We start from the raw sequence: 22035 nt of genomic DNA on the forward strand, positions 1-22035 counted from the left end.
ATAGCGTGCTCCTTCTTGTCATTTGGATCTCAGCTCAAATGTTACCTGCTCAGTAAAGCCTTCTGGAGCGTCCTTCTTAATCCCCAGTCTCCTATCCTGTTTCACTTCCCGCATGGCACATGTGACTCTAAAATTACACTTATTTTTTATAAGTGTCTGCGGCAGCCACTAGAATGCAGACTTCCACAGAGCAAGGCCCCTACCTTTCTCAATGATCACTGTATCCCAGCGTCTACAACACCTGTTACACAGGTTGTCATCAATGCACATGTATGGAATGCATGAAAAAAAGATCGAAAGAGATGGGATGGCACAAAAAACACAAGAAACTCCTGGCAATTTGAATTATTTCCGCTCCTGCACCTCAGTTTCCGCCTCTGTAAAATGGGCTCGCGCTGCCTTAACCCTCCTCCGCCCGCCCACTCTGACACCACCGGAAAGGATTCATTCGGGAACATTCGTGGGGCGGAGACGGGACAGGGGGCCTCGGCCTGTAGCGTCACGTCCGCCAGGGTTACCTGTGGGGCTGGGAGCGAACCGCACTCGCACCGCAACCCCGGCATCAGTGCCCAGGTTGGCCTCGCGCCGTCCTACGGGGCGGCCAGAGGCCGCCGAAGGCCTCTCGCGCTGCAGCAGTCTCCTCAGGAGCGCCGCCATGTGGGATGGAATAGCACACGTGGGCTTCTCCCTGCGTCACTTCCGGGGACTGCTTCCAGCCAATCGGCCTCCGCCACAGCCAGCGCAGCCTTGCCCCTTAAAGTCACAGGCCCCCTAGCGCGAAATCCCACGCCCCCCTGGACGGCTGCGGCCGCACTCGCCACCAGGGGGCAGAGGCCAGAGAAAGGGCTATTTCCCGGACCCGCCCCCTTCAGCTTGGGAAAGCGAAAGCGTGGCAGGGGCCGGACCTGGGAGCGGAGGAGGCGGGTCTCCATAGAAACCTCCACCTGTTTCCGGCCGGGCTGTGAGAGATTAGGGGCTGCTGCGGGGGCCAATCTCAGCCAGCTCGCCTCTTCCCAGCGGCCTCTGCGGGAGCGGTGGGTGTTGTACACAATCATCATGGCGGCGGCCGGGGCCCCGGATGGTGAGTGCGGCGGGGGTGGCGGGCGCCGGGCCGGGGCTGAGGTTGCGGTCGCTCCTCTGGGGGATGCGGCCCGGCCCGGGAGGGAGAACCGCGGCTCGGGAACGGAGGTCCGGCGGCGCCCGGACAGCGTCCGTTCCCAAGCCCAGCCCGCGGCGAGCGCCCACCCCCTAACCCCCTTGCAGGCATGGAGGAACCTGGCATGGACACGGAGGCCGAGACTGTGGCTACTGAGGCTCCCGCGCGGCCCGTCAACTGCCTGGAGGCTGAAGCCGCGGCGGGGGCGGCGGCCGAGGACTCCGGCGCCGCACGAGGCAGCCTGCAGCCGGCCCCGGCCCAGCCCCCTGGGGACCCCGCAGCCCAGGCCTCGGTCAGCAACGGCGAAGACGCGGGCGGCGGCGCGGGCAGGGAGCTGGTGGACTTGAAGATCATCTGGAATAAGACCAAGCATGACGTGAAGTTCCCCCTGGACAGCACAGGCTCCGAGCTGAAACAGAAGATCCACTCGATTACAGGTAATTCCTGTGGCGCTGACAGCCAGTCTTCCCCACCCCGCCTCCTGATGGCCCTTGCACCCTACTAGGCACCTGGTGGCTTTCCTTGCATCAGGTCCCCCCATCCTTACAGCAGTCTTCTGAAGGATACTTGGATGCCCATTACTCAGCTGGGGAAAGAGACTCAAGTTTATAGAGCTAGTAAGTTGCAGAGCTGGGATTAAAGCCGAAGTCTGACGTTTAGGCCCCAGTTTCTCATTGATGTTGCTCTAACATCTCTAATTAAAAAATCACCTAAGGCGCTTGTTTTACAGCTTCTGGGCCCTTTCCCAGGAGATTCTGATTCAGTGGGTCTGGGATGTAGCCAGGAATTTATTTTTAGCAAATATCTTAGGTAATTCTTCTAAGTGAAGTTTAGGAAACGCTGCTATTGACTTTGATGCTGGTTCTTCACAGTCGATTCTGTTTCTTAATTTTACCTTGTTCATAGCTCTTTGCCATCTGAGATTTCTTTTCTTTTTCCTATTTTTTTTTTTTTTTGAGACGGAGTCTTGCTCTGTTGCCCAGGCTGGAGTGTACTGGCACCATCTTGGCTCACTGCAGCCTCCGCCTCCCAGGTTCAAGCGATTCTCCTGCCTCAGCCTCCCGAGTAGCTGGGATTACAGGTGCCCGCTACCCCGCCGGGCTAGTTTTTTTTATTTTATCCACCCACCTCGGCCTCCCGAAGTGCTGGGATTACAGGCATAAGCCATCACTCCTGGCCTTGAACTTTTTTTTTTTTTTAAAGCTTTCTACATGTAGCCTTGTAATCTCCATTAAGAACAGGAGTTTTGTCCCTATTGGCTTCTGTAGCTCTGATGCCTGTGGATTCTCACTTAATATGTGAATGATTTAGATGACTGAGGAACAACTTGGAAAGAATGAGAGCTAGTACTTACTGAACAATTATTCAATGCTAGCCACCGTACTAAATGCCCCGCATTGGTCTCTTAATCCTTGAAACAGGTCTGTACAGAAGGACTTACTCTAATAAATCTTCTACAGTTCTAGAAACTGAGGTTCAGAGGTTGTAAATCTCCCAAGTTCACAAAGCTAATAGGTGGTGGAGGCAGTATTCACTTTTTGGTCTGTTACCAAAGAGCTGTGTAGTATCCATACATTTTTCTGTCCTTCCTTCCTTTCACTGTCCACCTTCTACCTTTTCCCAAGGTCTCCCGCCTGCCATGCAGAAAGTCATGTATAAGGGACTCGTCCCCGAGGATAAAACATTGAGAGAAATAAAAGTGACCAGTGGGGCCAAGATCATGGTGGTTGGCTCCACCATCAATGATGTTTTAGCAGTAAACACACCCAAAGATGCTGCGCAGCAGGATGCAAAGGCCGAAGAGAACAAGAAGGAGCCTCTCTGCAGGCAGAAAGTGAGTCCATCTTGTGCTTCTTGGTCTTGAGAAATTTGAGGCTTTGTCCTCTTGAGCCGTGGCTGGTTATATTCTCCCTAGAATAAGCTCCTTTTTGGACAGGGCCCATGATGGAAATTTATGGCAGCAGTTGGGTGCCGCAGAGTGGAGGTGACAACTACCTGAGATTTGCAACTTTGTCTCATCTGGCGGGTCAGTGTGTCTCAAGTCTACCTACTTTAGGATAAGACCTTGGTAAAGGGAGGCTTCAGACCATGTGTTGAAAGGAATCAGACGTGGGTTTCTCTCTCTTATTTAGTGCCAGAGAAAACTACCAGTACTAGAAGTAAGCCCTCATTTTGTACAAGTGCTTACATTTGGCTTTTTGGTTTGTGGCTTTCCCCAAGTCAACAAGCCTGGCTAGGCATGGAAATCAACAACTCTCGGAGGTTCCCCTAAAGCTGACCGTTTCAGGAAGCTAAATGAAGCTGAGTAGGAAGACAACTACACTGATGGATTTGTTTATTTATTTTTTTGTCCTGATCTGTGAAATAGGAGCTTGGTTTTTTACGTTCTCTGTTCTTTTGGCTGCAAGAGATCCTGCCTTGTCTTGTGCTCATCATAGCCATTAACATTCTTTCACGTAACGAGGAAAAGTGAGATTATTTTACTATGGAAGGAACAGGTTGTAAGAATCATTACTTGTTATCTTTTTACCTGGCAAATTATACTGATTGCTGTGTAGCCTCCTGATCGTTCTTCCTAGTGTTCCAAGGAAGACAGGTATTCTCAACTGTGTCTGAAGTAGAGTAGATAAACTTCAATCAACATCATTTAGTGACCATAGACACTAAGATATATGACCAACAGTAAGAAAAGGACACAGTTTGTGTTACAGATCCATAATCCCCCATGTGTGCTTCCAAAACCCCAAAGGAGTATAAAAACGAGAAGTGTTTTTATAAATTTAACAGCAAAACCTGACCAGAATTAGTGTGAATTTTCCTCTTTGGTGACAAGGTACTGCCCCAGACCCCACAGAGAAGATTGTTATGTATTTGAAAGCAATATTATCTTTATAAAAATTCCAAAACCCTGAAAGTTCAAAACTCTAGGGTTTCAGATAAGGGGTTATAAACCTATATTAATTATCTAAAAGGTGTTGATTTGGAGACTTCACCCCCACATATGGGGTCTCAGTGTCTTGAAACCGATTGAGTTTCTTCTCATATTCCTGTTTTTCTTTGCCACATGTATGAAATAGTGAAATGTGAGCACGTCAGATAGGAGTGGTCGCAATGGTCACACCCTTGGAGCATAACATGCCTCCTAAATACAGGTTTTTAGTTACTAATGGTAGCTTAACAGGCTTAGAACTGTTCTCCACAGTACAGGAAATCTTGTTCAAAAGGTACTTGAAAGGTGTGACTCGAATTGTACTTCCAGCCCATGCTGCTGTGTTTCATTGAGGCCAATTATGATGCATCACATGACCTAATGAGAGGGATATAGTCCCTTGCCTTTTTACCAGCTTATTAAGGGGTCTGGGGGTGATGTCTGGAGTGACTTTTTGCTAGCAGTCTGGCAGTGCTGAGTTTATTCCTCCCAGAGGGATTCCACCATGCCAGTGAGGATTTGGGCTGGCTTGTGGCTGCCTAGTGCTTACATTTGATTAAATTGTTACCTTCTATCCATTCATTGTCCCCTAGTTCCAGCCTTCCAAGCAGTGGCTATGCCTATAAGGCCACAGATGGAGAAGAAAGAAGACTCAGGCATTTGGGCCAGGCAGGAGAACTGTTTAAGGGGCCCTGAACTTAGAATCCTTGAAGAGCTGCCTCAGAGTTCTTGGGGCAGGTGGTAGGGGTGGAGTTTAGAGGCTTCTTAATGTCAGGTTATAGAGTAATAAGCATTTCTTTCTGAAAGGTGGCTCTTCCAGGTTCCTGTTTAGCTGGAGTTAAGGGTAGGGCAGTGGGGAAAACTTCGGCGATGGGCTGGGTCTCCATTTGTTGAAGAACTGCTCCTCCTAGGCAGTTAGACGGATTACCAGCATCTTATAGTGTTCTCTGGAAGTTTAAGTTGAAAAAGGTGGGTGCCATTTTTTGTCTGCTAGGAGAGCAACACCCTTTGTCGCCCTCTTTAGTTTGATGGTTTAATCATTTCAGTGGTGATTTTTTTTTTTTTTTTTGAGGGGAGGAGGGCAATCTGGAAATCCCGTTTGCTGTAGAACTTTGATATCTAATATGGTAGCTATCCACATGTGGCTGGTTAAAATGAAATTAAGAATTCAGTTCCTCAGTCATAGTAGCTGCATTTCAAGTGTGTAATAGTCACAGCAGTAGGTAGTGGCTAGCACAGGTACGAACATATTCGCCCTCCCAGAAAGTTCTGCTGGACAGCACTGTGCTATAGTTTCAAAGGATCCATAGTCTGTCGTCATTAAAAGCTTTTGAGCCAAAACACTAAGGCTTTCTTCATCCTCTCTTTCAAGGGAATAGTAACACGACGAAATGTAGTCAGCTGTTTCATTTCATTCTCTCTTCTGACTTATAGCAACACAGGAAAGTGTTGGATAAAGGAAAACCTGAAGATGTGATGCCATCTGTTAAGGGGGCCCAGGTAAGGCGGATTTCTTTGTGAGCATTCTGAAAATGAGGCAGCCCCACCGTCTGACTTGAGGTTCCTCCAATCCTGTCCCTTCTCTTTTTTCCCTGTTTTTTTTTTTTTGAGACAGAGTCTTGCTCTGTCACCCAGGCTGGGGTGTGCCACCACACCTGGCTAATTTTTGTATTTTTAGTAGAGACGGGGTTTTACCATGTTGCCCAGGCTAGTCTCCAACTCCTGACCTCAGGTGATCTGACCGCTTTGGCCTCCCAGTGTGCTGGGATTACAGGCGTGAGCCACCGCGCTTGGCCCCCTTCTCTTTTTTTCTGACTGTCCCTCCATCTCTTACCATTCTCTCGTGCCTTCAGGAGCGCCTGCCAACGGTACCGCTGTCCGGCATGTACAATAAATCTGGAGGAAAAGTGAGACTCACCTTTAAACTAGAACAAGACCAGCTGTGGATTGGCACTAAAGGTATGTTCTTCCTCGCCTCCTTGCTGGCCCACTGCCTGCCTCTGGCACCCAGCAGCACTCACATTTTAGAGTGCGATTTCACCCCTCCTTCTGAAACCTCTCTCTCCACTGTGCTTTGCTTGCTTCTGGCTTTTAAATTTGCTTTTAGATGCTCGCCTTTTGTTTGGACCGTTTTCCCTCATTGTTTTCAGTCTGATCTTAGGGCTGATCCACCAAACAGTGGCTCTTCAGTTGCACACAGATTTGGGGGTCCCAAACACGTGGCCCAAGGGCCAAATCTGGTCCACAGAAAAATGTTTTGTGGGATGACACACAATCTGTAAAAATTGGGAGATTTCACTAATCTGATTTTTTTTTTTTTTTTGGCTTCTCTTGAAAACTCAAATGATCTGGCCCTTTGGGGCCTGCATTCTCACATGGCATCGATCCACTAGAGCCGAGTGGTGGTTTCCAGTGGGCCATACTACAGTCTTCATGGTCCCATTTATCTTAGAAGTAGCCAGCTTTGTTCATTTGTCACCTGCCTGGCCCCTGTAGGTCAGAGTTTGACCCTATAGTAGGTGAAGTTTTCCTAACCGCTGCCGAGGAATCTGCCTCTCCCTCCCCGCCTGGTTGCCCTCTGCCTGCCCCACCCCCGCCTGTGCACGGTGTCTGGATCAGCCTTGCTGTTTGCTGGGAAGTGTCTCTGACTGTCCTCCCTCTCCCTTCCCCCAGATGGTTACAAAGTCTTGTTAGTTACACTGCAGAACTGTCTGTCCCTTTCTTTGCCACACTGTTGTGCCAGTTAAAGTTCCCAAGCATCTTTAAACTTGGTCTGTTCAAAGCGAGTTACCCTGTTTCACTGCCCCATCTGTGTTTTCTTCTGTCCTGTCCATCTTACCTACTGCTTTTTATCCTGGGTACCCGTGCTCAAGGACCTTTGGCTGTTTAAGGACACATTCAAATGCCTAACCATAGCGTTCAGTGTTCTCAACACTGGGCCTTAGTTTAAATTTTGGTTCCAGCTTCTGGCCCGTTTGCCCTGTGGTCCCCTGTGTATTTTAGCCGCATCTCTCTGTGAAGCTCCCAGTGTGCTTTGCACAGCTCCTTGTCTTTGCTCATGCTGTGCCCTTACCTGGAATGCCTTTTTCCCATTCCTTGTTATTAATAAAATCTTCCAAGGCCCTACTTAAATGTCCTCTCTGAATGAAGCCTTCCTTGATTCTCCCCCCACCCTCCAAATGACTTGCTGCCGCTTCTGTTCATAGAGCGCTTCGTTTATATCCCCAGAGCACTCATTACTCTCTGACTTGTCTGTCCCCCTGTTAGATTCCTGGAGGGAACCGAACATGCCTAAATCACCTGTTTCTGACCAGCACTGTAGGTATTCAGTGTTCGAGGTAAATGCTAAAGAGAAGTATAGGGGGTCCCATCATCTGACGTTCACTGGTTTCAGGGACAGACCATTTAGTGAGACTCCACTTAAAATGGGACCAAGTTTTATGGAGAATAATTGGGGCAGGGGTGGTGGGAAGAGAGAGTTTTTAATCATCTAAAACACAAAAATCAGTGTTCAACCCTATACTGATTGTTAAAATGAACAAAAATTGAAATGCCAAAAATGCTTGAGTTTTCTATCAATTTTATGATAACTTGCTATTTTCTTCATTTCACATTCAACTCTAACTGCATGGTCAAAGCAAGTTTTGCAGAATATCTGAGGGTTCCCCCCAGTTTTTGCAAGGGCCTTTGAACCCTCTGCTAGATCATTCTCTTCTGTAGAGCCTGTCCATCTTCCCTTTATCAGTAGTAAGCTGCCCAGCCTCTGTCAACTTTGCAGGTGATTTTGCTTAGTTCTGTCTCATCACATTCACTTGCTGAAGTGCATAGACTTCCTGCCTCTTGCTGGACCTCTACTTTTGCTTGTGGGCAGCCTCATTGAAGGCAGTTGCTACGGCTGACCTGGAAAGACCCTGCCATGAAGATAGGTGCAGGCAGAGAAGTCTGGATGGGAACTAAGTCTGTAAGTGCTCATTGGTTCCTTGGGGAATATTTCTGTGTCAGGAAGTTGTATAGGGAACACATCATAACTGCAGGAACTGACAGAACAAGAACTTCCTGACCCTGTATTGGAAGTTTTCTTTTTGCTAGTAGGAGCAGCCGCCTTCCTGCTTTGGCCTAAAGGGAGAGCTGTAGAAGAAGCTCAATATGTTGGGGCTTCTGAGCCCTTGAAAGCCTCCTTACTCACCAGTCTTGTTGAGGAGCATGGCCATGGACTACTCATGTTTTCTAGGGTTGAACAAGGTTAAGATTTTCATTCCCACCCATAGCACTGTACCTCTGGAGCCCAAGGGGCAGGCAGTCTTGTCACTTGCCCAGTCCTGTTACCTAAGTGTCATAAGCACTCATAAGAGGACAGCTTGTTCTGGGAGTTGGCTGCTAGCCACTGGCTTCGTCTTTCTGCTGGCAAGAAGAAGCGGCTATGGAATGACCATCCCAGCAGCGAGTTGGCCTCTTCGTGGGGCGCTTTGCTGAGTAAGTGACCCTTAAGGGCTGCTACTCTTGACTAAACTCTGCTAGCTTGTGTAGGAGGAGGCAGTTCTAACAGCCTCAAAAGAATGAGAACAAGCTCCAGGCAGGAAACCGGAAGCCGCTGGAGGAGAGCATGTACCCTGCTCGTAGGAAAGTTGAATCTGGCTGAAGGTCTGATGTAGTGATCAGGAGTGTGGGTCCAGAATTGCCCAATTTTTGGAGTTTTCAAGAGAAGCCAGAAATCTGTTGTATATTTTTGTGAAATCTCCAGACATTTCAGGATGAAAGGTGTTTTAAAAGTTTCCATCTTAAAGACAGCTGCTGCCCAGGTCCTGCTTTAGGGCCGACTGTTGTAGAGCCACTAGAAGTCCAAACCTAAATAAACATCTTCAGGTCCCTTCTCCCCAGCCCCCATTTTTCAGATACTGAGGCCCACAGAACTGAAGTAAAATGTCTTAAGTCCCCAGCTAGACCAGAACGCTGGTCTCTAAATTCCTAGTCTGTTTGGCCAACTTATCTATTTTTAGACTCTATCTTTCCAGATTTTTCTTTCTGCAAAGGCTGCAAGTTTTTTTCCACTTGGTTTAGCTGTTTGCTGAGCCTCCCTGCCCCCCTCCCCCTGCGCCCCCGTCCCTGAGGTGTCTGCTGCTCCAGGATGGCCATGTCCCCTTGTGCAGGTGCACCTCGCCTCCCCTGACCTCACCCAGTCCCGCTTCACTTGGCTCACTCCCGGCAGTCTCATCTCACTCCAGGCATCCCTTGCTGCCCCCTTCTCTTACCTGCCATCCTCCTTAAACTCGCCTCAATGTCTTCTGACCCCATGTGATCAGTGGTATCTCAAGTGTTAATCACAAAAGGTTATAAATGTTTTAAGAGAACTTCATAAAAGTGTGTGAATATAGAGTGCGGAGGACTCGAGGAGGGAGGCCGGGGAAGGGAGCAGGGTCGTGGTATAGAATCTAGCCCTAAAATCCAGGCACTCCCCTTCCCTTGTGAGAGCCACAGGGGAACGTGTTGCCTCTTTGTTCGTAGGCCTCTTGACTCTCCCTACTGCCCAAGACCTTAGTCAATGCTGGGCTTGCATAAGGTTACAAAGGAATTTCTTGGGTATTTATTTATTTTATATTTTTTTTTGTTGAGATGGAGTTTCGCTCTTTGGCCCAGGCTGAAGTAAAGTGGCATGATCTCGGCTCACTGCAACTTCTGCCCCCCGGGTTCAAGCGATTCTCGTGCTTCAGCCTCCTGAGTAGCTGGGATTATAGGTGCCCACCACCACGCCTGGCTAATTTTTTGTATTTTTAGTAGAGACGGGGTTTCACCATGCTGGCCAGGCTGGTCTCGAACTCCTGATCTCAGGTGATCCACCCACCTTGGCCAAATCCTGACTCACAAGATGTTAGGATTACAGGCTTGAGCCACCGCGCCTGGCCTTTCTTGGATATTTATTAACCATCAGACTTTTAAAAAATAATCCCAGGGAAGATACAATTCTGCCCTCAGAGACCTTTACTATACCATTGCCAAACCCAGTTTCCCACTTGCTCCTACGGAGTTCCCAGCTCCCACACGAAGCCCTATGTGCACTGGTCAGAAGACCCTGTCGTGTTGTCCCCAGAGGGCATGGCGCCAGTCACTTGAGTTTACTGTAGATCCCGCAGCCACCAGCCCTGATGAGGGACTGCTGAGTCAGAGAAGTTAGAACAGGAGGGCCCTTTGAATAATCACTGTAATCCCTCTCAACTTAGAGCGGACTGAGAAATTGCCCATGGGCTCCATAAAAAATGTGGTCAGTGAACCTATCGAAGGACATGAAGACTACCACATGATGGTAAGTAGCGCTGGCTGAGTTCAGCCCCTCTCACTAGACTCCCACTTCACCTGGCAGGGAACAGTTTTAACTGAGCTTGTTTAACGGAAGAAAACTCAGTCTCCAGAAGATGCACTTTTTTAAGACCCTGATGTTTTCTTCATCTACTTAGAACTTAATCCATGGCCTCTATTCCTAGTTCTGTTTATTTTACACCCCCCCACACACACCTTCCATCAGTTTAAAGGGGATATGTTTTCTCTTACCTCTTTTAGAAAAGTCTCTCTTGCCTCCCTCTTGTCGTGTGTTGTTTCTAGACCAGGAAAATAAATATAAAGAGGAGGAATGGCTTGTGGATTTTCATTATAAGTTTTATCTTGCTTATAAAACAAAACTTGCCCTTAGCCTTGGTGTTGGTGAGGGCACCAGACAGCCTCTTTTCTGTAATAACGATGCCGCTCTTCCAGGCCCAGTGGCTGAGGGCCTCGTGGGGAAGACGGGCTCTGTGGAGCGTCTATTCTGCATAGAACCCACTCTGCAGAGAGCAGGCTACTCTTTCCCAAGACAGAATGTTTGGAGGTGTTGTGCAGGTCTGCAGAACAAAGCAAAAAATTCATTCATCTGGTAAAATGAGCAGCTTAGGCAGTTTCCAAAATTTTCCCAGTGCTCTTTGGAGGAGCCACATTGACCACGAAGTTGATTCTGCAGTTGCCCATCAGGGGCCTGGCCTGAGCAGCTGTAATGTGAGGGCGGGGCCTCCGGCCATTGTTCATCCAAGGAGGCAGGCCTTTCAGTGTCCATCCCACAGTGATGAAGCCACATCAGCCCATCCCAGGGAAAAGAAGGAACTAGTGGTTTGACCAGTAGATTGGGATAACAAGTCCCAGGCAGAGAGATGTGTTGGAAGATCCTCTTGCTATAGAAAAAAATCAAAGGGGCTTAAAATATGGTGGGCAAGGGAGGCAGCCCTGTTGGCATCCTGCCTAGTGTGGCTGTAGCAAGGCTGTAGCTGGGAGTGCAGTCCCTAGGCTGTGGGGCTCTTGGGGTTTTGTCTTCTGGAAGTGATGATGCCCCTTGGCAGCCCTTCCACCCCTACTCTCTCTGTAGTCTTTTTTTTTTTTTTTTTTTTTGAGACGGAATCTCGCTCTGTCACCAGGCTGAAGTGCAGTGGCGCTATCTCGGCTCACTGCAGCCTCTGCCTCCCAGGTTCAGGCGATTCTCCTGCCTCTGCCTCCTGAGTAGCAGGGATTACAGGCTCACGCCACCACACCCAGCTAATTTTTGTATTTTTAGTAGAGATGGGGTTTCACCATGTTGGCCAAGATGGTCTCAATCTCTTGACCTGGCGATCCGCCCACCTCAGCCTCCCAAAGTGCTGGGGTTACAGGCGTGAGCCTCCATGCCCAGCCCTCTCTCTGTAGTCTTTATTACAAGGATTGCAGACAAATTGGTTTGGCCTGGTCAGTTATTTTTTTCTGTTTTAACAGTTGGGCCAGGCGTGGTGGCTCATGCCTGTAATCCCAGCACTTTGGGAGGCTGAGGTGGGCGGATCATGAGGTCAGGAGTTTGAGACCAGCCTGACCAACATGGTGAAGCCCCGTCTCTACTAAAATTACAAAGATTAGCTGGGCGTGGTGGCGGGCACCTGTAATCCCAGCTACTCAGGAGGCTGAGGCAGGAGAACTGCTTGAATTGCTTGAACCTGGGAGGCGAAGGTTGTAGTGAGCAGAGATCGTGCCACTACACTCCAGCCTAGGTGACAGAGACTCTGTCTCAAAAAACAAACAAAAAAACAAAACAAAAAAAAACAGTTGGACTTGAATGTTTTTAACTGGGCCCCATCACTCCTTTTTGAATAGTTTGTGTTGCCAGTCACACCCTGTAGGGTTTGTAGCCTGACTTTTCAAGCAGTGTGGTGGTAGGGAGTCCAAGGAAGTTGAGTGGACTGTTTTGGACGTCTTTGGAGGAATTGGTGTGGATGGGTAATGACTTAGTATTTCATTGAAATGTTCATTTCTCTCGAGTTATTTCTGGCAGAGGATAGCTCTAGTAGTCCCCTTCTCTTTTCCAAACACCTTTACCTTTGTCCTAATGAAAGTACTTAGTTATCTCTTTGGGCAGATGCTATTTCTCTAGCTAAATTAACATGTCATCATTCACAGTTGGAAAACTGTGGCTGTGCTTTTTCATTTTTAGAGAAATGTTTTTAAAATACAGAAAAGAGGCTGGGCGCAGTGGCTCACACCTGTAATCCCAGCACTTTGGGAGGCCGAGGTGGGTGAGTCACTTGAGGTCAGGAGTTTAAGACCAGCCTGGCCAACATGGTGAAACCCTGTCTCTACTGAAAATACAAATATTTAGCTGGGCATGGTGGCGCGCACCTGTAATCCCAGCTACTTGGGAGGCTAAGGGAGGAGAATCGCTTGAAAGTGGGAGGCGGAGGTTGCAGTGAGCTGAGATTGCACCGCTGCACTCCAGCCTGGGCAACAGAGAGAGACTCCAGCTCAGAAAAAATAAAAATAAAATACAGAAAAGAAAGAGAATAACTGTCACAAACCCATATATCCATCACTGAGAAGTGGCAATTGTAAATATTTTGTAATTTGCTTTAATTTTTTTAAATAAAAGAAATAAAGTTTATTCACAGCAATGATGGCCCCACTGTCTTCCCCTCCCCCATTACCATCGTCATGTGTCACGTGCGTCCTTCCCATCTATCCATTCTTTGATTTACACGTGTATCCACGAACAAGATGGAGTGTTGTTTTGTGCTTCCAGTTTTCGTAAATGGTATTATGTATTGTTCTACAACTTGCTTTTCTTTGGTTCAACATAAGAATCTGTCAGTATTAACTGTAGATCCATATGGACCCAGTTGATACCTCTTTAAAAAGAGCTCCAGTATTGGTGTGACTAAGCCTTGTCACTTTGAATTCTGCATTCCCTTACTGATGGATATGTAGGTTGCCCCAGGTTTTTGTGGTTTCAGACAGTGCTGCAATGAACATTCATACCTGTTTTCTTGAGCATGTGTGACAGGTTTTCTAGGGCAGCGTTTCTCCAACTGTGGTCCCTGGATCAGTAGTGTTGCATCACCTGGGAGCTTGCTAGTTTCTCAGGCCCCACCCCAGACCTCCCCAAATTAGAAACTTCACAGGGTTGGAGCCTGCTGATCCATGTTCCAGCAAGCCCCCCGGATGGCTCTGATGACCACTCAGGTTTGAGAACTGCTGCTTTAGGGTTGGCTCAGCTTAACCCTCAGCCTGCCTGTTTTTGTTTTTGGTTGGGAGAATGCTCCCCACGTGCAAAGTTTTGTTTGGTTTTTCTTCCCTTTTTAATTAACTCACATCCCAACCCTCACCCATGTTTGTCCTGCCTGCTTGGTCTCCCGACCTCTGAAGTACCGCTTGGTTTTCCTTTTTCCCTTCCAGGCGTTTCAGTTGGGCCCCACGGAAGCCTCTTACTACTGGGTGTACTGGGTTCCAACTCAATATGTGGATGCAATCAAAGACACTGTGCTGGGGAAATGGCAGTATTTTTGAAAGCACTTTCACCTCTGGCCCAGGAGACTGACCCAAAGTGAAGGACATTGCCGGGAGAGGCCTGCAGCATCCCTGGATTTCAGAGTTCTGGAACTTTGTTCATAAAAAATCTATATTCAATCTGAGGTGATGTGGTGACTGAAGCCAGAGGTGATGTACTTTCACCATTAGCTTAATTTTAACTTAAAATTACCAGTTCCCTTTCTTGCAGTCAGCTTCATACCATTTTTAAAGTCAATACGATGGAAATCAATAAATCTGAATTCCGAACATGTTGTGTGGAATACTCTTAAGTGTGTTTGAGAGTAGATCTGCCAATTATGTTGACAAGGGAATGATCAAAAGCTTTGTTTTTTTTAAAAAAAAAAAAAGCAGTTTCAATTGAAATATTTTCATACATCTTTGGTTGCAAACATTTGGACTGCATTGCAATGAGTTGGGGTGTTTTTTTTTTCCTTTTTTGTATAAAATTGTATGCAAAATGGGGGTGGGTTAGTAAGCCACATATTTCTGTCCATTGATTCAGATTTAATTCTTTCCCTTTTTCATTCTCTCGCTTCCTCAATTTGAGTTTTTGTTTTAAGAACCCAAAGATGTCAGTTCTTCTTTTGGTACCTCATCAACGCTTCCTTTCCTGGGCTCCCTCCCGCCGTGCTGCTGCTGCCTGTGAACGCACGGTGGGAGAGGAAGAGCTGCTCAGTCTTGGGCAAGGAGCTCTCACACTTGCTGTGGTGTTCGTTGAGCAGCAGAGTATCTCCCAGTGACTCCTGTTTAAATGTCTTGCCCTTTGGGCCCCCATCTCCAAGGAGTTCCATTGCTGGTTGGATGATTGTCTGCACCCCTCACTGAGCTTGGCCTAGAGGCCCAGCCTGGCATGGTTGTGCCTGGGCTGTGCCGCTCAACAGCCCCAGCTCCCAAGCAGACAAAGACCTCTTCCAGGAGGAGCCAGGTAGAAGATAGTTATACAGCCATATAGCTGCAGATCCAGATAACCTTCTTTCTTTGGAAGTTTTCAAGAAATTCTTAAGCAGTCCAAGGATGATTTCAATTATGCTTCTCCATTGGGTCCTTCTGCTCATGCATTCAGTTCAAGTGTCCTTTATCCCAGGTTCAGAGATGCTGCCTTTCTGAAGAAGACATCTGACCCTAGCAGGTTGGCCAGTGTTATTGAACAACAAAAATGGGATAAATTGCTTTCATGATTAGCTCACCTTCTTCTGGTTTTAGCCCTTCTGTTCTCTGTACACGTGAACTTCTGTCATCTCCTTCTGGCTTGGTTGCCTCTGAAAGGAGGGAAAGTCTCTTGGTAAATTATCTCTTTTGTGCTGTTTGCTGTTTCTCTGCTGCCGTCTTTGCAGTTCTCCTCTCACTGGTTGCAGGCTTTCATAGTAAGGTTTGGCGAGAAATGTTCCAAACATCACATTTTGGATTCTAGGCTGTCACCCCTCATTCTGTGAAACGTATTAGCATGTGTTCGCCCAAGATGACTATTCCTTGTGAGCCAGTTAATGATGATATTCTACGCCCTTCCCTTCTAAGCTGTAGTTCAGGAATCCAGCCCACATAGACAGACTCTTGCTTTCCATGGTGTAGTCAATGCCAAGTGATGCATCTAGGCAGGAAAATCTACTCTTTGCTTTTTTGGGGGCAATTAGTACATTTGTGAAGTGCAGCATCCAAGAAACAGCCTGTTTTTTCATCCCTTGAGAAAGGAGCAGTCATTGCAGCTTTTCTGTCCTTGTCGGCCTGCAGTTCCTGGGGAAAAGAGTACATCTGAGCTACTTGTCCAAGCCTCTGTCTGCAGGTGACAGGTTTTGGGGGAAATGAGATGCATTAAGTAGAACATCATCTCGGGTCAGACATTGCCCCTTTTGTTTGCCAATGCCCCAGTCCTAGAGACTTGTCCTGACAGTGCCGCACACCTACTTTTGATCTCTCAGAGCAGGTGGCTCCATCCCCAGACTAGCCTGGCTGCTCTCCGAGGCCCCTCCACCTGCTCCCCTTATTGCCCCATTCTTGTGGCTTGCCGGGCCACTTGGCCTCCCTTCTTGCCGGTGACAGCGTTCCATCATCTCCCCGCTCCCCAAGGGCCAACTGCTTCTCACTCAGGCTGGTGTCATTTCAGGAGGACCAAAGCCTGCGTGAGCCTTTTTATTTTCAGTAAAATGGTGCTTTTTTCCTTACTTCGAGATACTATATATAAATAATAATGTAAATGACACCTTTTCGTACGGAGCTGTTTGAGTATTGCTTTACAGAGCTCACTAAATCAGCTTCAACAATCTTGAGCTCTGTGGCTCCTCACCCTGTCTGCATGGAAGACCTTGCTGGACGCTCTCGGGAGAGCAGACATAGCACCAGAAGCCACTGGGAGAAGTGTTTTCGATCCGTGTCTGGGCCACAGTAGTATTCACTGTTTAGTCTTTGAGTTCCGTAAGCAGTCTCTTCATACATTTCTTACAGTCTGGAGTGTACTGACTAAATCTGTGTAAGCAAATTGAAATACTCTTTCTTTTAGGTAGCGTCACAGTGGTTTTTTTTTTCCTCAGGATAATTTCTATACAATTTCCTTACTGTCAGAGGGACCAGATCTTTCCCTCACTGTGGCAGGGGCCGTGCAGGTGGATAAAGGAAGAGCTGGTTTCCGGAGAGTGACTGTAACAGCGTTGACTCGAAGCTAGAGATGGAGGGGGTGGCCGTCTCTTAGACATTGGACACCTCTCAGAGCCTCCTGAGGGCTTCTTTGTCTTCTAGAATCTCTACCGGTGGTCCTCCTGCAGGTTCTGGCTCACAGACATCATCATGCCTTTTTTTCCCTCCCTGAGGCGCCTTGGCAGAAGAGCGTGACCCTGTGAGCCAGGCCCCCCTTAGCTCTGCTTCAGATCACAGAACACAGACAGACTCGCGAGTTGCTGGACCTCTTTGGTATTAAGTGTTTGAATCCATGGTGGGCCTTTTGCAAGTAGCGTTAGCTCTTTTTAAATGTTGAACTGAGCTAAGGATGCACTTTCTTGTGGACATAGAAGGGGCCCACGTAAGGCCCTGAGTAGGCTCCTTAGTTGCTGCTTTACCTGATGAGGGCCAAAGAGATTAACTCTGCCTCGTTGCCATGTCTCAGAAAAGTTGCCATATTTCACCCAGAAGGGGCTTGTTTTCCTCTTACTCTTACTTTAACCATGTGCCTGGAGGAGCCATTCTGGGCTCTTGCACTTGCCCAGCCTTTCTTTGCCAGGGGCAGAGAAGGGAAAGGGGGTAGATTGAGTGTGCCAAGGGCCGTGCAAGGGCAGGCTTGCTTTCCACCCATCTGCTGAGGGAGCCCTCTCCTCTCGCTCCTTGCCTCTGTTCACACCTGTTGTCTTGGAAGAGGATGGTCCCTTTGTCTTAAGGCTTTGTGATAAAGTCATCTCCAGTTAGGATCTGCACCTGTTTCCTTCGTAATAGTGCCTGGCGGCCTTTCTGAAGTTACAGGTGGTTGGGAGCCCTCTCGCATGCAGAACATCTGGTAGATTGATCTGCCAGGCTGGGTGGTTCTACTGCTTTCTCAATTTCTAAGAACCTTTTTTTTTTCTTAAAGAGTTCTGCTGAATTATTTGACAATATTTGTAAGTACCATGTTTCCTTGTGGTGTATGCTCTGTTCTGGTTTCTGTTTTCAAATCAAATGCCTGTTTGGGAGGAGATGAACGTATTTAGTCTATTAGATTTGCACTGCTGGATTTTTTTTTTAAAGTGTAACCTTGAATAGCTGTCTTATTGTTTATCCTGTAAGATTAGTCAATCGATTAAAGTTTGATAATTAATTGCGTCTCTTTTTCCTTCCAATTCTTCATGCGCCTAATCCATACTGGGGATTAACCAACATTTGGAATTGGACCTGGAGCCATTTCTTTGCCAGTTGTGGTCTTATTTGGCTTTAAGTATATTCAAATGTATTCTCTGCTGAAACAGTTGACATTTACTCTGCAAAATGGTGAAAGTGACCGGTGTGACAGTGAGCCACACTCCTGTTGGAGCAGCATGGTCTGCTCCTTGGTGGGCCCTGGCTTCCACATGTTGGAAGAGAAGCTGCCTCCCTGTACTCACACCTCCTGACTAGTGCCTTGGGCAACCCCACCTAGCCATTTAGCCTTTGAGGACATGTTTTAGAAAACACTGAGATTGGAGCTACAGATTTAGCCACAAGCTATAAAGACCCAGGAGTCGGGAGGAAGAAAATCTGTTACCAAAAAATGGGCCAGGCTCACTGGCTCACACCGGTAATCCCAGCACTTTGGAAACCAAGGTGGGAGGATCACTTGAGCCCAGGAGTTTGAGACCAGCCTGGGCAACATAGCAAGAGCCCCATCTCTACAAAAAATACAGATATCGGCCAGGCACGGTGGCTCACGCCTGTAATCCTAGCACTTTGGGAGGCTGAGGTGGATGGATCACCTGAGGTCAGGAGTTCGAGACCAGACTGGCCAACATGGTGAAACCCTGCCTCTACTAGAAAATATAAAAATTAGCCAGATGTGGTGTCAGGTGCCTGTAGTCCCAGCTGCTTGGGAGGCTGAGGCACAAGAATCGCCTGAACCCCAGAGGCAGAAGCTGCAGTGAGCTGAGGTTGTGCCACTGCACTCCAGCCTGGGTGGCAGAGTGAGATCCTGTCCCCCCCGCCAAAAAAAAAGGCAGGGGACTAAAACAGAATCCTTGGTATATGAAGAGTGATGGAGTTTGTCCCTGCTGGTCTCACTTCTTCCTAGCAGGCGGAGGGGGTCAGCTCTTCACTTTTTCACAGTACCTCATAATCCTGAAACAATACGGCTGGATGCTTAGGGATCTGACTCCTACATGGGAGAGGGGGATCATTGGGATTGTATCCCATGCTATACGTTGGCTGATGCCCATCTGGAGAATCTGCTATCTGGTACTTCTAGGCTGAGTGTGATGGCTCATGCCTGTAATGCCAACACTTGGGAGGCTGAGGCGGGCAGATACCTAAGGTCGGGAGTTCGAGACCAGCTTGACCAACATGGAGAAACCCCATGTCTACTAAAAATACAAAATTAGGCGTGGTGGCGCATGCCTGTAATTCCAGCTACTAGGGAGGCTGACGCAGGAGGATCACTAGAACCTGGGAGGTGGAGGTTGCAGTGAGCTAAGATCGTGCCATTGCACTCCAGCCTGGGCAACAAGAGTGAAACTCCATCTCAAAAAAAAAAAGAGACCACCTAGCAGGGTGTTTTGACCTCTTGCTGTGTGCCAGGCAAATGCTGTTTCTCTAGGCCTCCAGCCCTGGAGGGAAGAATGGACATCACCTTTGGGCGCTCTTCCACTACGTACTTGCTCTAAACACTCTGCATTCAGGTCCTGTGACATCAGCTTCTTCCTTATGTCTTAACAGTGTGAAGGATGTTACTTGCATTATACAGTCAACACTGCACCACATCCCTCCTGTGACCCTCACTTCAGCCACTAGAGGAAATCTTAGGTTCAGAGAAGTTAGATGGCTTAGCCAACATCACATGCCTGTTACCGAGTGAAGCTACAATTCAGAGCCCAGCTTTGCCTGATGCTAAAGTCTGTGCTCTTAGATACTGGCCTGGTACTTGAGAAGTTAGGAAAGAACCCAGCTGCTTTATTTTGCTTTCAAATTTTTTTCTTTCCTTGGTTTTGCTGTGTGTCTTCAGGGCACTAAGTTGGGTGTGTGAGTTGCTTTTTTAAACTTTGAACCTTGGCATTTGTTTGTTGGCTTTATTAATTAGCTTTGCATATTAATAAAGTTAATTTGTCAGTTACATTTGTTTAATTGGCTTTATTTATTAGTTGGCTACCACTTTAAAAATTAAAACAGTAACACATGCACTTGATAAAGAATTTCAGGTGATAGGTAAGTCTTTCACTCAGTTCTCCTAGCTTCTCAACCCCAGCACCAAATCATCCCTGAAGAAGAATTCACATTACGCTCAAGTACTTAAGTGCGCATCCCAGGGGCAGAGGGCCAATCATTCCCACTTAAGCCACTTCCTAGAGTGGGGTGAGGGGACTCCTCAATGGGAACTTAGCAGGAGGGAGCCGGCACTGGGGAAGCACCTCACCAGCGCTCAGACTCCAAGCCTGACATTTTTCTTGAACTGTTGCTCATTATCTGTTGCCTGCTCAGGTATCCTACAAACACCTCAAATTCAATGCATCAAATCCAATCCTCTGGTACCTGCTTTAGACCGCAACTCACCCAGTACTGGTATGTTGGGAGATAGCTTAGACACAACTGATCAGATTCTGCCATTTATTTGTTTTATTTTATTTATTTTGAGATGGAGTTTCTGTTGCCCGGGCTGGAATGCAGTGGCATGATCTCGGCTCACTGCAACCTCTGCCTCCCGGGTTCAGGCGATTCTCCTGCCTCAGCCTCCCAAGTAGTTGGGATTACGTGCACCTGCCACCATGCCTGGCTAATGTTTGTATTTTTAGTAGAGACGAGGTTTCGCCATGTTGGCCAGGCTGGTCTCGGACTCCTGACTTCAGGTGATCCACCCACCTCAGCCTCCCAAAGTGCTGGGATTTCAGGTGTGAGCCACTGCACCCCGCCTATTTATTTTTCAATTCTTTTTTAGAGACAGAGTCTCCCTCTGTTGCCCAGGCTGGAGTGCCATGGTGCAGTCATAGCTCACCGTAGCCTCTAATTCCCTGGCTCAAGTGATCCTCCCAGGTTCTGCCATTTTATTCCCAGAATCTCTTGCCCATCCATCTCTCTTTATCCCAATCTCCACATCTGGGACTAACTGCTACTACAGGCAGGTGACACCACACTCAGCTAATTTTTAATATTTTTGAAGAGACAGGGTCTCACGATATTGCCCAGGCTGGTCTCAAACTCCTGGCCTCAAATCAAAGTGCTAGGATTAACAGAACAGGCATGAGCCACCATGCCGGGCCTCTCATGACACTTTTTAAAGTCCAGGCCTTATAAACTCCCACCTTCTGGATTTGTTTCCTCATAATCAGATTCAGGTTAGATGATTTTAGCAAGAGTGCCTCAGAGGTGACATGACCTCAGTGCCTCACATCAGGAGCAGCATAGGAGGTTGACTTGTTGTATCATTGGTGATGCTGAGTATGATACCTCCACCTAGGTTGTACCTACCTCCCTTACAAGGTGGTGAGCTCCTGGAGATGGGAGACAAACTATATGGTGTGAAACTGTGTACTCAGGCTCCAGGAGTGCTTAACACACAGTGGGTACTTCCTTGTGTGTGGAGCGAGTGAGTGAACTTGCTGTATGGAGAACACAGTGAGAAGACTGAAGCAGCTCCACTGGAGATATGGTGGGGATGGCTGGAGACAGGACTGGGACTGGGTCATGACAGGCTTCACAAACCGCCCTTTCCCAGTGGGAACGGTGTACAACAGAGGCACAGATCCTCTGAGGTGTTTTCAGCAGCTATTAAATACCATATGCATACAATTCCATTTATCCTGTTCTTGAATTCACACACACTTTGGAATGCTACATTTGGCCAGTTTGCTGCCTACCTATAGTGGCACAGAAGTCTCTCAAAAGAACATTCTGATAAGCTCTTAGAGCAGAAAGAACAGAAAGGCCTTTGCTATTGCTTGAACAACCAGACCCTAAATGGCCTTGGGGATGAATGATGTGTGTGTGTGAGATCCAGTAAATGTCTTCCCTCATTCTGGCTTCTTTGGGGCTTACACCAGCTACTGGATGATGTGAATGGGCTGTTTCACTGCAGGCGTCTGGTGAAGATAGTAGCAAAGCAGGCACTCAAGTGGCAGTACAGTCAGACTTTGTGATCTTAGGCAGACACAATCACAGACGCTTTTTTTTGGTAAAATGTACAGCTGCCATGGGATTTAAAATAGCCAGAACAACTTGGGGACTACCACCAAAATACCCCCAGTGTTAAACTACTAGACGTTCCAATCAAAGGAATAACACACAGCCTGTTTACTCCCTATTTGATCACCAGTGCTTAGTAAGTGCTCAAGCTATTGTTAAATAAATGCAGTTGTAAAAAAACAATGAGGAAGAGCCTTATCCTCCAATTTGGCAGTTTTCCAAGATATGTTGCTAAATATTGCAAAAAAATAAAAAAGGTCTAGTGTAACAATGTATGATTTTCATAACTGAG

The 22035-nt window shown here is 47.6% G+C and overlaps 2 protein-coding genes across 11 annotated transcripts in view, besides 6 other annotated features; one reads left to right on the plus strand and one right to left on the minus strand.

Annotated features, from left to right (window-relative positions):
• Nucleotides 1-689, minus strand: part of EARS2 (glutamyl-tRNA synthetase 2, mitochondrial) — a 36622-nt gene extending 35933 nt beyond the window's left edge. For 2 of the 5 annotated variants that reach the window (NR_003501.2, NM_001083614.2), the window contains exon 1: nucleotides 519-664. Coding sequence is in view for 3 of the 5 variants with exons in the window: in NM_001083614.2 (NP_001077083.1) it covers nucleotides 519-657 (139 nt within the window). In the remaining 2 variants the exon portion in view is untranslated. Of the gene's footprint in view, nucleotides 1-203 lie in introns of all 5 variants that reach the window. The other 3 variants (XR_001751841.1, XM_011545738.2, NM_001308211.1) reach the window with 2 other exon arrangements.
• Nucleotides 354-633: an enhancer, noted in NCBI's record as "active region_10583". NCBI's record gives its function as "activates an Ori minimal core promoter by ATAC-STARR-seq in GM12878 lymphoblastoid cells {active_cell/tissue: GM12878}" and the evidence as "EXISTENCE:reporter gene assay evidence [ECO:0000049][PMID:35858748]".
• Nucleotides 638-1282: an enhancer, noted in NCBI's record as "H3K27ac hESC enhancer chr16:23568645-23569289 (GRCh37/hg19 assembly coordinates)". NCBI's record gives its function as "activates a minimal SCP1, AML or CMV promoter by ChIP-STARR-seq in naive H9 embryonic stem cells {active_cell/tissue: H9 hESC(naive)}" and the evidence as "EXISTENCE:reporter gene assay evidence [ECO:0000049][PMID:30033119]".
• Nucleotides 824-1023: an enhancer, noted in NCBI's record as "active region_10584". NCBI's record gives its function as "activates an Ori minimal core promoter by ATAC-STARR-seq in GM12878 lymphoblastoid cells {active_cell/tissue: GM12878}" and the evidence as "EXISTENCE:reporter gene assay evidence [ECO:0000049][PMID:35858748]".
• On the plus strand, nucleotides 1041-17703 carry UBFD1 (ubiquitin family domain containing 1). 6 transcript variants are annotated; one of them, NM_019116.3, is made up of 7 exons: nucleotides 1041-1081; nucleotides 1264-1593; nucleotides 2782-2990; nucleotides 5520-5585; nucleotides 5939-6044; nucleotides 10301-10383; nucleotides 13794-17703. In NM_019116.3, exons 1-7 carry the CDS (start codon nucleotides 1057-1059, stop codon nucleotides 13902-13904), a joined length of 930 nt encoding a protein of 309 aa, NP_061989.2. In that variant the 5' UTR covers nucleotides 1041-1056; the 3' UTR covers nucleotides 13905-17703. The 6 variants fall into 6 exon arrangements, 5 of the variants coding, with proteins under 5 accessions (NP_061989.2, XP_047290323.1, XP_016878948.1 ...); XM_047434367.1 differs by lacking the exon at nucleotides 13794-17703 and adding an exon at nucleotides 7353-7403 and having other exon boundaries at nucleotides 10301-10384; XM_017023459.3 differs by lacking the exons at nucleotides 10301-10383; nucleotides 13794-17703 and adding exons at nucleotides 7353-7423; nucleotides 7864-10294.
• Nucleotides 1094-1183: a silencer, noted in NCBI's record as "silent region_7279". NCBI's record gives its function as "represses an Ori minimal core promoter by ATAC-STARR-seq in GM12878 lymphoblastoid cells {active_cell/tissue: GM12878}" and the evidence as "EXISTENCE:reporter gene assay evidence [ECO:0000049][PMID:35858748]".
• Nucleotides 1283-1926: an enhancer, noted in NCBI's record as "H3K27ac hESC enhancer chr16:23569290-23569933 (GRCh37/hg19 assembly coordinates)". NCBI's record gives its function as "activates a minimal SCP1, AML or CMV promoter by ChIP-STARR-seq in naive H9 embryonic stem cells {active_cell/tissue: H9 hESC(naive)}" and the evidence as "EXISTENCE:reporter gene assay evidence [ECO:0000049][PMID:30033119]".
• Nucleotides 1284-1463: a silencer, noted in NCBI's record as "silent region_7280". NCBI's record gives its function as "represses an Ori minimal core promoter by ATAC-STARR-seq in GM12878 lymphoblastoid cells {active_cell/tissue: GM12878}" and the evidence as "EXISTENCE:reporter gene assay evidence [ECO:0000049][PMID:35858748]".
• Nucleotides 17704-22035: the final 4332 nt, after the last annotated feature.

Source organism: Homo sapiens, chromosome 16 (genome assembly GCF_000001405.40).
Source record: "Homo sapiens chromosome 16, GRCh38.p14 Primary Assembly".
NCBI lineage: Eukaryota > Metazoa > Chordata > Mammalia > Primates > Hominidae > Homo > Homo sapiens.

Excerpts from the sequence above, each read along its gene's own strand:
- UBFD1 (NM_019116.3), top strand. The coding sequence starts at position 1,057 with ATGGCGGCGGCCGGGGCCCCGGATG. Across the intron at positions 5,586-5,938 it reads CATCTGTTAAGGGGGCCCAG|GAGCGCCTGCCAACGGTACC; the intron begins GTAAGGCGGATT and ends TCGTGCCTTCAG. Across the intron at positions 6,045-10,300 it reads GCTGTGGATTGGCACTAAAG|AGCGGACTGAGAAATTGCCC; the intron begins GTATGTTCTTCC and ends CTCTCAACTTAG.